The following is a 14381-nucleotide window of genomic DNA, read 5'->3' as shown; positions in this document are numbered from 1 at the left end:
GATCCTGGCTAAATGAACGCAACTTGGATTGAATTTGCAAAAAATGAGACATTCGAAAAGGGACATGAAAAATCCACCGCGGCATGCTCAGTTCTCTCTTGCTGAGGCTGCACTCTTCTGCAGCGTTCTAATAAAACTTTCCTTTTTCAAACCTATATTGTTGTCGATAAATTCTTCTTACCAACCAGCAAGTCGACCACTTTCTGATGCTGGGGCTCTTGACACCTTGCCCAGCACTTCTACCAATTTTTGTACCTATTAATCACCCTGTTCATCCCCTTCTCCTGGCTACCCTTCCTGGCCTCTGGTAACCACCAACTTATCTTCATGATATCCACTTTTCAACTTCCCATTTATGAGTGAAATCATGTGATGCTTGTCTTTCTTTGCCTGGCTTGTTTCACTTAACATAATGACCTCCAGTTCCATCAATGTTGTTGCAAATAGGATTTTATTATTTTTTATGGCTGAATAGTATTCATTGTGTATATTTACATTTTATTTATCCAGTCATCCATTGATGAACATTTTGGTTGATTCCATATTTTGACTGTTGTGAACAGTGCTACAATAAGCATAGGAGTGCAAATATCTCTTTGATATATTGATTTTCTTTCTTTTTTTTTTTTTTTGAGACTCCATCTTGCTCTGTCGCCTAGCCTGAAGTGCAGTGGCACCATCTTGGCTCACTGCAACCTCTGCCTCTGTGTTGAAACAATTCTCGTGCCTCAGTCTTTCGAGTAGCTGAGACTACAGGTGTGTGCCACCATGCCTGGCTAATTTTTGTATTTTTAGTAGAGACAGGGTTTTACTATGTTGGCCAGGCTGGTCTTGAACTCCTGACCCCAAGTGATCTGCCTGCCTCGGCCTCCCAAAGTGCTGGGATTATAGGCGTGAGCTACCGTGCCTGGCCCTTCCTTTCTTTTTGGTATATACCGGTAGTGGGATTGCTGGATCATATGGTAGTTATGATTCCAGAACTTATGATTTCTCAGAAGTTAATCTTCTGAGGATTCCATATTGTTTTCCATAGTGGCTGCACTAATTGAGATGCTCGCCAACAGTGTATGAGGTTCCTTCTTCACATCCATCTCAGCATGTTATTCCCTTTTTGATAAAGGCCATTTTAACTGGGATGAGATGATATCTTACTGTCTTTATTTGCATTTCTCTGATTAGTGACATTGAGCCCTTTTTCATATCTCTTGGCCATTTGTATCTCTTCAGAAATGTCTATTCAGATCTTTTGCCCACTTTTAAATCTGATTGTTTTCTTGCTATTGAGCTCCTAATATATTCTAGTCATTAGTCCCTCATCAAATGGATAGTTTGCAAATATTTTCTCCCATTCTGTGTGTTGTCTCTTTGCTTTGTTGTTTCCTTTGCTGTGCATATACTTTTTAGTTTGATGTAATTCCATTTGTCTGTTTTTGCTTTTGTTGTCTGTGCTTTGAGGTCTTTGCCCAGATCAATACCCTGGAACATTTCCCCAGTGTTTTCTTTCTTTTCTTTTCTTTTTTTTTTTTTTTTGAGATGGAGTCTCGCTCAGCCGCCTAGGCTGGAGTGCAGTGGCGCAATCTTGGCTCACTGCAACCACTGTCTCCTGGGTTCAAGCGATTCTCTGTCTCAGCCTCCCGAGTATCTGGGATTACAGGCACCCTCCATCATGCCTGTCTAATTTTTGTATTTTAGTCCAGACAGGGATTCACCATGTTTCCCAGGCTGGTCTCGAACTCCTAACCTCAGGTGATCCACTTGCCTCAGCCTCCCAAAGTGCTGGGATTACAGGTGTGAGCCACCGTGCCTGGCCCCCCCCCCCCCAGTGTTTTCTTCTAGTAATTTCTTTTCTTTTCTTTTTTTTTTTTTTTTGAGACAGAGTCTCGCTCTGTTGCCCAGGCTGGAGTGCAATGGTGCAATCTCAGCTCATTGCAACCTCCGCCTCCCAGGTTCAAGCAATTCTCCCACCTCAGCCTCTAGAGTAGCTGGGATTGCAGGCACCTGCCATCATGCCTGGCTAATTTTTGTATTTTTAGTAGAGATGAGCTTTCACCATGTTGGCCAGGCTAGTCTCAAACTCCTGACCTCAAGTGATCTGCCCACCTCGGCCTCCCACAGTGCTGGGATTACAGGTGTGAGCCACAGCACCTGGCCTAAATACATCAGTGTTTTTAAGGTTTCAATTTAGATATTAAAATCGCGTTTCTGGCCAGGCGCGGTGGTGCGTGCCTGTAATCCCAGCACTTTGGGAGGCCAAGGTGGGCAGATCACGAGGTCAAGAGATCGAGACCATCCTGGCCAACATGGTGAAACCCGGTCTCTACTAAAAATACAAAAATTAGCTGGGCATGGTGGCTTGCACCTGTAGTCCCAATTACTCGGGAGGCTGAAGCAGGGGAATTGCTTGAACCTGGGAGGCGGAGGCTGAAGTGAGCTGAGATCGCACCACTACACTCCAGCCTGGGTGACAGAGCGAGACTCTTGTCTCAAAAAAAAAAAAAAAATCACGTTTATTTTCTTTGTTTTGTTTTTGTTTTTGTTTTGAGACAGAGTCTTGCTCTGTCATCCAGGCTGGCGTGTAGTGGCACCATCTCGGCTCACTGCAACCTCTGTCTCCCAGGTTCAAGCAATTCTCGTACCTCAGTCTCCCGAGTAGCTGGGACTACAGGCGTGCACCATCATGCCCAACTAATTTTTGTATTTTTATTAGAGACGGGGTTTCACCATGTTGGCCAAACTGGTCTCAAACTCCTGACCTCAAGTGATCTGCCCACCTCGGCCTCCCAAAGTGCTGGGATTACAGTTGTGAGCCACTGCACCTGGCCACATTTATTTCAAGAAATAAATTTTTTGTTAGTTTACAAAGCACTTTGGTATATTTCATGTGATTCTTACAATGATGGTGAGTGTGTTATTTTATTTAATTTTAAAAATTGGAGCTGTGCGGGGTGTCTCATCCCAACACTCTGGGAGGCCGAGGCGGGAGGATTGTTTGAGCCCAGGAGTTGGGGACCAGCCTGGACAACATGGCAAGACCCTGTCTCTACAAAAAATTTTAAAAATTACACGCCTATGGGTCCCAGCTACTTGAGAGGCTGACAGCGCAGCGGGGGAATCACTTGAGCCCAGGAGGTCAAGGCTGCAGTGGGTCATGATCTCATGCCACTGCACTCCAGGCTGGATGACAGAGTGAGACTGTGTCTCTAAAAAAAAAAAAAAAAAATGTGAATAATTGATGAACACTGAACTTGTGCAAAAGTCTGAAATGTCTTTAATCATATGACATTTAAGAAGAAACTTTTAGGAGTTCTGGAATGACTTCACTTTTGGCTATTTGCAAAGGAAGCAGCTGTGAAGGAGTGTGGAAAACAGGAATGACAGAGAAAGAGGAAAGACAAGTGGTCAGATGTGTGCTTCTAGAACCAAGGAGGGATACAGTTAGATGGAAGGAAAACCAAAAGAAGACAGGCTTTTTTGATCCAGTCTGCGTGGTAAACTTTTTTTTTGAGTCTCTCTGTCACCCAGGCTGGAGTGTGGGGGCATGATCTTAGCTCACTGCAACCTCTGCCTCCGGGGTTCAAGTGATTCCCCTGCCTCAGACTCCTGAGTAGCTGGGGTTACAGGCAAGCACCACCACGCCCAGCTAAATTTTCTGTGTTTTTAGTAGAGACAGGGTTTTACCATGTTGGTCAGGCTGGTCTCAAACTCCTGACCTCAAGTGATCCACCAGCCTCGGCCTCCCAAAGTGCTGGGATTACATGCGTGAGCCACCGAGCCCGGGCCCCGTGGTAAACTCCTAAAAGGAGTCACCAATGCTCCTGCTCCTGGTCTGCTACAGCATGAGACAGCCACGATAGCCTAAAGATGACAGATGTTTCAGCAGTGAGAGCCAGAGAGAATGAACTGGAGTTAACATTCCTGAGACATACGCATCACCATCAAGACCTGAAATGGACCACAGTCAGCATTAATTCTTACCAAGTGAATACACTGCACAGTTTTAAAAAGTCAAGTATTACTTGCGGCAGATTGGATTATTTTTCAGAAATAGTCACTCCCCTTCCACCTGCATGGGTGGAGTCTACTTCCTGTCCCTTGATTTTGGGTTTGGCCTTGTTTTGGTCCATGGAATGTTAACAGACACCTGTAACAAAGCCTTGAAAAGTCTGCCCTGATTATTAGGTTGTGCTCTTCTACTTTTGAATTGCTGTAGGAAGAGCTTTTCCCCCAGGCAAGTTGCTGCTGTTCCCTCAACCTGGGTTTCAGAATGAACATGTGGAACAGAGCGGCCCTAGCCAACCTGCACAACTAACAACCTGAAACAGAGTTACTACAACCCAACGGTGAACTGTAGCAGCCAGGTTTTGCTACAGAGCAGTAGTGAATCCATGCAGCAGCAGCCCTCTAACTCAGTCCTTCCCCTCAGCCCTGCTCCCCAGAAGCAAGTATTTTCAACTCTTTCAACTGTTTCTTCTGGTAGTGTATCAGTATTTTGAAACAGTATGCTAATATTTTATTTCTCATTTATCATCTTTAGACCTTATATATTGACTTCCTGGCAGGTGTTACAATTTTCCTTCCACGGATGTGAAGGTTGAGGTCCAGAAGGGTGAAATGACTGTATAAGGTCCTGCAGTCTTGGTCAAATTCAGATTTCTGATGCTAAATTTCACACTCTACCCACCATATACTGTCAATATTAAAAGTCAGTTACACTTAAGACACTCTATAGTTCATGCATATTTCTCATCACACATTCATAAGATAAAACCAAAAAATTAAACCATTTACCAAAAAATACTGCTGTAGTACTGACAACGAAGACACTTCCTAGTTCAGTCTCCAATTTCCAGGCAGAACCGCCCCATCCTATCCACTACCTTTTTAACTCAACATTTGACAACTCTTTATGCACTGCGGGAGGTACGAAGGAAGAAACTGCCGGTTTTATTTCATTTTTAGAGACCGGGCCTGGCTATGTTGCCCAGGTTGGCCTCCACCTCCTGGGCTTAAGGGATCCTCCTGCCTCAGCCTCCCAAGTAGCTGGAACTACAGGCATAAGCAACTATTCCTGGCCAAAAACTCTGTTTTCAAGGAACGTAGCTTCTCATAGCAGTTGCAACTTTTAATGATGAAATATTGCTCTGCCTGTGGAGGTCACAAGGCAATAACAGAGAAATGGCATTGACAGTGTTAGTAATAGCCACCCATGGCCATCTGGTCATCGTTCCAAAACAAAACTCCCCTCAGAATTGTCCTGATCTTAGCGGCAAAAAAAACTGCTGCCAAGTTATTATTTTTCCATGGGTCACTCTTACATTAGGCATCTCATTAAGTAAACACTCTAAAATAAATCGTTCTCGGCTGGGCGCAGTGGCTCACACCTGTAATCCCAGCACTTTGGGAAGCCGAGGCGGGTGGATCACCTGAGGTTAGGAGTTCCAGACCACCCTGGCCAACATGGGGAAACCCTGTCTCTACTAAAAATACAAAAAAATTAGCCGGGCGTAGTGGCAGGCACCTGTAATCCCAGCTACTTTCGGGAGGCTGAAGCAGGAGAATCGCTTGAACCCGGGAAGCGGAGGTAGCAGTGAGCCTAGATCGCACCATTGCACTCCAGCCTGGGCAACAAGAGCGAAACTCCGTCTCAAAATAAAATAAAATAAAAATAAAAAATAAATCATGTTCTATATTTCATCTTGAGAGAGAGCGCATCATTCTAGCATTTTGCCTTTAGTTATTTATTGTGTCTTCCCCTAGTCCTGTGAACGCCGGAAGAACCTTCTTGTCTTGGTGGTTGCTGAATCCCCAGCATCTGTCACAGCCCCTGGCATACAGCAGGTTCTGACCAAGTATTATCCTGCTTTCATCCTCTGTTATTTGACAGCCTGCTTTATTGCTATAAATTAATATTTTACATTTGCAGAACTCTACAATGTGATTTCAACTAATTTCTTATTCCTATTTTAATCTTATTTCTCACGTCAAATTCACCAGACGACTACAAAATGAAGCAGAGAAGGAATTTAAATTGTAGTTACTGGGCATAAAGAAGGCCTCTGGGGCACTGAATAAACGTAGCTGTCAACATCCCATAAAGGCCGGGTTCAGGCACGCTCTAGAGCGGTCCGGCAGAAACGGCAAATTTCCCCTCTGGAGCCCCCAAAAGGTTATGTCGGCGAGACCGGAGAAGAGTGGGCGAGCCCTGACATTTGAGGCGGCGCTGGTGCAAGGGGGGAAATTCTGACACCGAGTTCTGTGAGGGGCCCTGGGAACGGCTTCGCCTCTGCGCCCACCAGTGTGAAGAGCCCCCCCCCAGCGTGGGCCACCAGACACAACTCCCACGGGGCGCTGGGCGCCGGAAACCTACCGACTGACCTGCATGACGTAGGTCCACTTCCGGCGGCCGCAGCATGCGCCACCCGGGATTGGCCGAGTCAGGTCGCAGTGGGCGGGACCGTCGCGTGTTCCCAGCCGCTAGCGCGGTCGCGCCGGTGCTTGCAGGGGTCAGATCCGACGTAAATGCGCCGGGTGCTGCTGGGCCTGGTCTGAGAGTAACAGCCCCTAAAGGTCACTTCCTTTAGAGCGTCGCGTGTGGGTCTCTGCGCCCTGGAGTCGCTTTGCCTCAGCGATCTCGCCGACTTCCGAGGGGTGTGTGCGGCCTGCCGGATGCAAGGCGGGAGGTCGAGCCCTTGGCACCTGCTGGGCCCAGATTCGTTCTGGTGACCGCAGCCCGCAGGCTCAGCAAAGAACGACGACGATTTGCCTGTTCCCATCCCGAGAGCCTTGGTGTCTTGGGGAATCGGATGCAGTCTCTGATGTTTTAACCACCTCGTTGGTGGCTCATTGGAAAATCTGCAAAGCCCAGTGTGGAAGCAAGGCTTAGCTTGGACAGCGTTTTCTGTTTCTCTCTCTCGGGTTGTTTATGGAAAACGCTTATTGCCATCCCTTCCATGGCATCTTATTTCTTTTGTTTTCTTTCTGAGAAGTAGAGACGGGGTCTTGCTATGTTGCCAAGGCTTATATTGAACCCCTGGGCTCAAGCGATCCTCCCGCCTTGGCCTCACAAAGTTTTCGGATCACAGGCATGAGCCACCGCCCCCAGCCAGCATCTTATTTCTTTTTTTTTTTTTTTTTCCAAGGCAGAAGAATTTTTCTTAGTACAGAACAAAATGAAAAGTCTCCCATGTCTACTTCTATCCACACAGACCCGGCAACCATCCGATTTCTCAATTTTTTCCCCACCCTTCCCGCCTTTCTATTCCACAAAACCGCCATTGTCATCATGGCCCATCCCCAATGAGCCGCTGGGCACACCTCCCAGACGGGGTCCTGGCCGGGCAGAGGGGCTCCTCACTTCCCAGTAGGGGCGGCCGGGCAGAAGCGCCCCTCACCTCCCGGATGGGGCGGCTGGCCGGGCGGGGGGCTGACCCCCCCACCACCCTCCCGGACGGGGCGGCTGGCCAGGCAGAGGGGCTCCTCACTTCCCAGTAGGGGCGGCCGGGCAGAGGCGCCCCTCACCTCCTGGATAGGGCGGCTGGCCGGGTGGGGGGGCTGACCCCCCCACCTCCCTCCCGGACGGGGCGGCTGGCCGGGTGGGGGGCTGATTCCCCCACCTCCCTCCCGGACGGGGCGGCTGGCCGGGCGGGGGGCTGACCCCCCCACCTCCCTCCCGGACGGGGCGGCTGGCCGGGCAGAGGAGCCCCTCACCTCCCGGACAGGGCAGCTGGCCGGGCAGGGGGCTGACCCCCCCCCCACCTCCCTCCCAGACGGGGTGGCTGCCGGGCGGAGACGCTCCTCACTTCCCAGACGGGGTGGCTGCCGGACGGAGGGGCTCCTCACTTCTCAGACGGGGCGGTTGCCAGGCAGAGGGTTTTCTCACTTCTCAGACGGGGCGGCCGGGCAGAGACGCTCCTCACCTCCCAGACAGGGTTGCGGCCCAGCAGAGGCGCTCCTCACATCCCAGACAGGGCGGCGGGGCAGAGGTGCTCCCCACATCTCAGACGATGGGTGGCCGGGCAGAGACGCTCCTCACTTCCTAGATGGGATGGCGGCGGGGAAGAGGCGCTCCTCGCTTCCTAGATGGGATGGCGGCCGGGCAGGGACGCTCCTCACTTTCCAGACTGGGCAGCCAGGCAGAGAGGCTCCTCGTATCCCAGACGATGGGGGGCCAGGCAGAGACGCTCCTCACTTCCCAGACGGGGTGGCGGCTGGGCAGAGGCTGCAATCTCGGCACTTTGGGGGGCCAAGGCAGGCGGCTGGGAGGTGGAGGTTGTAGCGAGCCGAGATCACGCCACTGCACTCCAGCCTGGGCACCATTGAGCACTGAGTGAACGAGACTCCGTCTGCAATCCCGGCACCTCGGGAGGCCGAGGCTGGCGGATCACTCGTGGTTAGGAGCTGGAGACCAGCCCGGCCAACACAGCAAAACCCCGTCTCCACAAAAAAAAAAAACGAAAACCAGTCAGGCGTGGCGGCGTGCGCAGGCACTCGGCAGGCTGAGGCAGGAGAATCAGGCAGGGAGGTTGCAGTGAGCCGAGATGGCAGCAGTACCGTCCAGCTTTGGCTCGGCATCAGAGGGAGACCGTGGAAGGAGACCGTGGAGAGAGAGGGAGAGGGAGAGGGAGAGGGAGAGGGAGAGGATCTTATTTCTTGAAGTGAGAGTAAGATCCCATTACTTAGGGTTTCAGTCAGGGGTTATCAAAAAGCCTTTACGATAACTTACTTGCAAATGTGAATAGCAATGCCTGCCCAGAGGTTGGTGAGGACCTAGTGAGATCTTACATAAAACAAGCTCAAAGGAGTTGAAATGTTGAGTCCCTTACTATTTCCTGTTATAATTCTCTAATTCTGTTTCCATAATGCTTTCAAATTCCAATGCTTTGGAGACATACAGTGATCAAGGAGTTACACCAGTATTTCTGTCAATGGGCAAGGCAAAATCCATATTCCACCCAGCGGTAGACACTTGAATCTAGCAAAACTTTCCTGGCTGACTCCCTGCCCCCTATCCTTTACTGTATCCGGGAGATCCCTTCCTTATCTTGAGGCCCACCTACTCTGGAGGTTGGTAAGCAGTGGCTACATTCAGGATGAGAACTATATTCTGGTGACCTTTCGTATGTCTGTAGTTCTGTGAATCTGCTGAATTTGGCAGTGACTGCTATGTAGGGGATTAAAAGTTTGAATCCTGCCACAATGTGCTTCAAAAATCCCTTCTTTCTTATCTTCCACATTCGTACCTCTTAACACTCCCTCACTCAGTTTATCTGTTCTGGGAACTTCCTGGAACTTCACTTCCTTCGTGCTTTGGCAAAAGCATTTCCTTCTGCCGGGAATACCTCTGCTTCCATGTCAGCCTTTTTTTCCTTTTTTTTTTTTTTTTTTTTCTTGAGACGAAGTCTTGCTTTGTCGCCCATGCTGGAATGCAGTGGCTCGATCTCGGCTCACTGCAACCACTGCCTCCCGGGTTCAAGCAATTCTTTGCCCCAGCCTCCTGAGTAGCTGGGATTACAGGCGCCCACCACCATGCCCGGCTAATTTTTGTATTTTTGGTAGAGACAAGGTTTCACCATGTTGGCCAGGCTGGTCTTGAACTCCTGACCTCATGATCCACCTGCCTCAGCCTCCCAAAGTGCTGGGATTACAGGCGTGAGCCACCGAACCCGGCCTTTATCAGCCTTTCAATGTATTACCCATCCTGGAAAACCCAGTTACACTGCCAATCCCTCCAGGAAACTTTCTCTATTCCCGTAGCACTTTGCCCTCCTATTATAGAATCTGTACGGCTGTGTGGCCTTAGTTATTTGTGTAACCTCTTCCTTCCACTCAAGGCTGGGAAAACTGTTGGGATGGCACTTTATCTATATATGCCATACAAGACAATAAAACTCACTCCACAATTATTTATGGAGGGCTTGTTGTGTGTTCTCAGGAGTGCTCTGGGGTGCCAGGGATGCAGCAGTGAACAGTGTCCCCTCTCATGGAGCTTATGTTCCATGGGGAAACGACAGACAGTAAACAAAAGCACAAATAAATAGCATGCCAGGTGGTGGTATGTACTATGAAGGAAAACAAAGGAGGGAGAGAAGATGGAGAATAATGGTGGGGGGAGGGTGCTCGTTTAGACACTGGTCAAAGAATGCTGTTTTCTGAGGAGAAAACCCAAATAAGATGAGGGAGTGGCCGGGTGCAGTGGCTCCCACCTGTAATCCCAGCACTTTGAGAGGCCGAGGTGTGCGGATCACCTGAGGTCAGGAGTTCCAGACCAGCCTGGCCAACAAGGTGAAACCCCATCTCTACTAAAAATACAAAAATTAGCCGGGCATGATGGCAGGTGCCTGTAATCCCAGCTACTCGGGAGGCTGAGGTGGGAGAATCGCTTGAACCCAGGAGGCGGAGGTTGCAATGAGCCGAGATGGTGCCACTGCACTCCAGCCTGGGCGACAGAGCAAGACTCCATCTCAAAAATAAATAAAAATTTAAAAATTGAAAACAAGTCAGGCTAGAGGGGAGTGGTAGGATGCAAAACAGGAGAAGTAAATGGGTTAGAAAATGTGCAGATTTGCATTAGACATTCGATAAATGCTTGTTGAGTTAAATTTACTGAATTGATAAGGGACAGAGAGTAATCTAATGATAATAATAATGAAACTTGGAAATTGCTTGAGGTTGAGTGCAACAGACCCTATAGGCATATATATGGAGTAGTTATAACTTACACACAGGGACAGTTGGAACTCTTATTTTGTGTGGTGATACTTATTTAGTATGGTGATACTTAACTGAAGAAAAAAAATCTTATGAAAACTAATGGTTTATCCAACAATCTTCCATTATAATGGAAACACAGAAGAACAGGAGACGGATTTTGTGGAGAACGACTTGTGAGTGGAATTATTTGGTAGAAAATGCTGATCACCATTAAAAAGCTCAGAAGGAAACAAAATCCATCTCCTGGTGTTGCCTTGCTTTTGATTTGTTGAATAAGGACACTAGAATGTTAATTGACAGTAGTTGAGATGAATTTGTATATTACTTAATTTTAATAGTACTTTCCTTCCCAAGGGTTAAGGTGAACGCTAGGGACGGGGAGCTAGTACCCCACAGCCAGAAGCTGGCCTTCGGTACAAAGTTATGTTACTTCAGGATAATGTTGCCTCTTGGGGTGATACTGCTTTGATCACAGTTGTCACCTGCACCCCAAAGACTAGTTTTCCCTTTAACGGCATGTAGCAACTATCTCTCGCCATCCGAATTTAAAAATAAAGAGCCCGTGTTTACTTAATGGTTTTTGATTACGTGCTCTTATTTTAAGCTAGTCTAACTTCCTCCAAAAATTGACTACTATGAGGCTGTCAATTCTGCTCTTCATCACATTTCTCAAAGTTTAAATTGATCGTCAGTTTCTTGGTAGTCATTCATGTAGACGAGCTCTGATGTGGTTTCCAACTCAGCTCTTAAACCACGGAATTGACAGTCTTACCCTTGGTTGCTGAGTCAACACATCTTTTTACTAATTCACAGGAATGTGCCATTACAGCTAGCTCCTATGTTAGTCATACCTCTTGGCCAGATGTTAAGGTAGCTTTGGAATGAGACAGCGTCCAATTCCATCCCTGGTGTCTCCATTCCTTAAATGTGGCAGTATGGTGTGGTGGGAGAGCCTGTTCTCGCTCTCTGAGTCCAGCCTGTCTGGATTTAAGCCCAGCTCTGTCCCATGCTAGCTAAGTGATCTTGAACAAATGAGTTACCCCTCATGCCTCATGTTCCCCATCTATAAAACAGGGATCACAGAACCTGTGTACTTCACAGGGTCACTATGAGAATTAAATGAATGAATATAGGTAAAGCTAGAACACTGGCCTGGAGTAAACCCTCAAATGCTGCCCTTAATCCTTGTCTCAGGAATTGAACTCCCTTGGCTTCTGTTTCTTCACATTAGAATAGTAACAATAATTCTTACCTCATGGAGTTCCTGCATTGCAGATGTTATGCTCAACACTTTTTTTGTGTGCATCTGTGAGACAGAGTCTCACTCTGTTGCCCAGGCTAAGGGGCAGTGGTGTGATCTCGGCTCACTGTAACCTCCACTTCCCAGGTTCAAGTGATTCTCCCACCTCAGCCTCCCAAGCAGCTGGGACTACAGGCACACGCCACCATGCCCAGCTAATTTTGGTATTTTTAGTAGAGACGGGATTTCACCATGTTGGCCAGGCTGGTCTCAAATGCCTGACCTCAGGTGATCCGCCCACCTCGGCCTCCTAAAGTGCTGGGATTACAGGGATGAGCCACCGCACCCGGCCTATGCTCAACACTTTAAATATTTTATTTAGCCTCTTCAGAAGGAACAAAATCTGTCTTCTGAGACTAAATAAAACATTTAAAGTGTTTAGCATAACATCTGCAATGCAGGAAGCCACCCATAAGTATTAGCTCTTGTTATTAGAAAACATTTATTTAGTGGTAGTCGCAATCTGTTTAAATTCAGCGTTGAAGGGACCAGAGGAATGGACCACAGAATGTGATACACCATAAACATGTGCCATCTTGGTGAGGATGGTGAGGGACAGAAATGACATAGAGTTTTTGCCTTAAGATACAATGACAGCATCTGGAGAAATAATCAAAGTGAAGCTTGCTCTTGGAGTAAGAGCAAGTTCCCAGAGCTCAAACTGTTTAAGCGCATGAGCGACAGCAAGGAGACTTCATACAGGGGTTGTGACCCTGAGGTCCACAGATGCTCAAAGGTGCACAGATAAAAATCAGGGAGTCTGTGAACTTAGATTTAAATTACATCTTTAGTTTCACTAACCTCTAATGGAAATCTAAACCTAACATTTCTTCCCATTTGGAATATAGTAATTCACAAAGCATAGCTGAAGGAACAGTACTCATGGCTTGGGACCAATAGTACTGAAAGTCATCTTCATATCACATTACAGTTCTTGCAGATATCCCAGAATACCATTTTGATTCATGATTAATTTGAAATTATGCCAGATACATGTTAAGTCCATATATTAGTGCATCACAAATTGGCTTTTAAAATATTTGGCAGGGACATTTCAATTCAGTTGGTTTCCTTTGTAATCCTTTGTAATATATTTTATGAATTACGAATCCTATTCTGAGGGCTCCACAAGCATAGGACCCACAAGCGAATGGGGCCTTGGGCACAGGCAGGTTAAGAGTCTGGTTAAGAGCATGGGCTCTGCAGCCAGACAGCCGAGTTTCTAATCCTTTCTCGGCTCCTTACTAGCCAGGTGACACCAGGCAGGCTACCTGGCTTCTCTGTGCCCTTGTTTCCTCACCTGTGAAACAGGGACAAAGGCTGTCCTAAGGTATAATTGTGGGAACTTCTGTAAATACATAGAACAGTGCCTTGCGCATAGTAAGCCCTCGGCCAGTGTCAGCCGTGATCAGAAAAGCATTTTACATGAGACCTGAGAAAGGACAATGACAGCTCAGGTTGGGGTCTGCATGCCAGAATGATTTCCCCAGGAAGAGAGTGAAATTAAAACATTAGGTCATGAAGAGACAGGCAGACCGCAGGACTGGAGTGAACAAATCCATGTATTTATTTGTTCATTTGATAAAGGTTTATTGACTACCAACTGTGTGTCTCTCAGCGCTGTCTCTAACACTTTTGGGGCCTGGAGCAAGTATAGAAATGGGGCCCACACACCATGTCTGAATATTTAAAAGTGGCAAATCAAGCGCAAGGAGAATATTCTACTTCACAGAGAAGTCTTCAAAGTAACTAAATAACAAATTATTTTTATGTAACAAAGTTGGCAAAGATGACTGAGTTTAACTAACATTACAAATGTGTAGATGTTTTCTGATGACCTGAAAATGTTTAAATTAGTGGTAAATAAAGGCATACAGGGCCGGGCATGGTGACTCACGCCTGTAAGCCCAGCACTTTGGGAGGCCGAGGCAGGCAGATCACCTGAGTTCAGGAGTTTGAGACCATCCTGGCCAATGCGGTGAAACCCCGTCTCTACTAAAAATACAAAAATTAGCCGGGTGTGGTGGCACACACCTGCAGTCCCAGCTACTTGGGAGGCTGAGTGGGGAGAATCGCTTGAACCCAGGAGGCAGAGGTTGCAGTGAGCCGAGATCACACCACTGCACTCCAGCCTGGGTGACACAGCGAGACTTCGTCTCAAAAAAAAAAAAAGACACACATAGTTCATAAATAATTGTATTTTTATCTAGAAAATTTATTTTTTTGCTTTCATTTCATTTGTTACAATAGATAATTTCGCATAATTTGTGTTTGGACAGTAATGACTTAAAGGATTAAGAAATAAAATATAATTGTACTTAACATATACAGCATTTGTATGTATTTAATATAATGTGTGAATTTGAGTATG

The 14381-nt window shown here is 47.3% G+C and overlaps 2 annotated features.

Moving 5' to 3' along the window:
* Window positions 6055–6254: an enhancer, noted in NCBI's record as "active region_93". NCBI's record gives its function as "activates an Ori minimal core promoter by ATAC-STARR-seq in GM12878 lymphoblastoid cells {active_cell/tissue: GM12878}" and the evidence as "EXISTENCE:reporter gene assay evidence [ECO:0000049][PMID:35858748]".
* Window positions 6785–6894: an enhancer, noted in NCBI's record as "active region_92". NCBI's record gives its function as "activates an Ori minimal core promoter by ATAC-STARR-seq in GM12878 lymphoblastoid cells {active_cell/tissue: GM12878}" and the evidence as "EXISTENCE:reporter gene assay evidence [ECO:0000049][PMID:35858748]".

The sequence above is a fragment of the Homo sapiens genome, chromosome 1 (assembly GCF_000001405.40).
Source record: "Homo sapiens chromosome 1, GRCh38.p14 Primary Assembly".
NCBI classification, from domain to species: domain Eukaryota; kingdom Metazoa; phylum Chordata; class Mammalia; order Primates; family Hominidae; genus Homo; species Homo sapiens.
The sequence above is the reverse complement of the archived record's forward strand: the minus strand, read 5'-3'. Positions and strand labels throughout refer to the sequence as shown.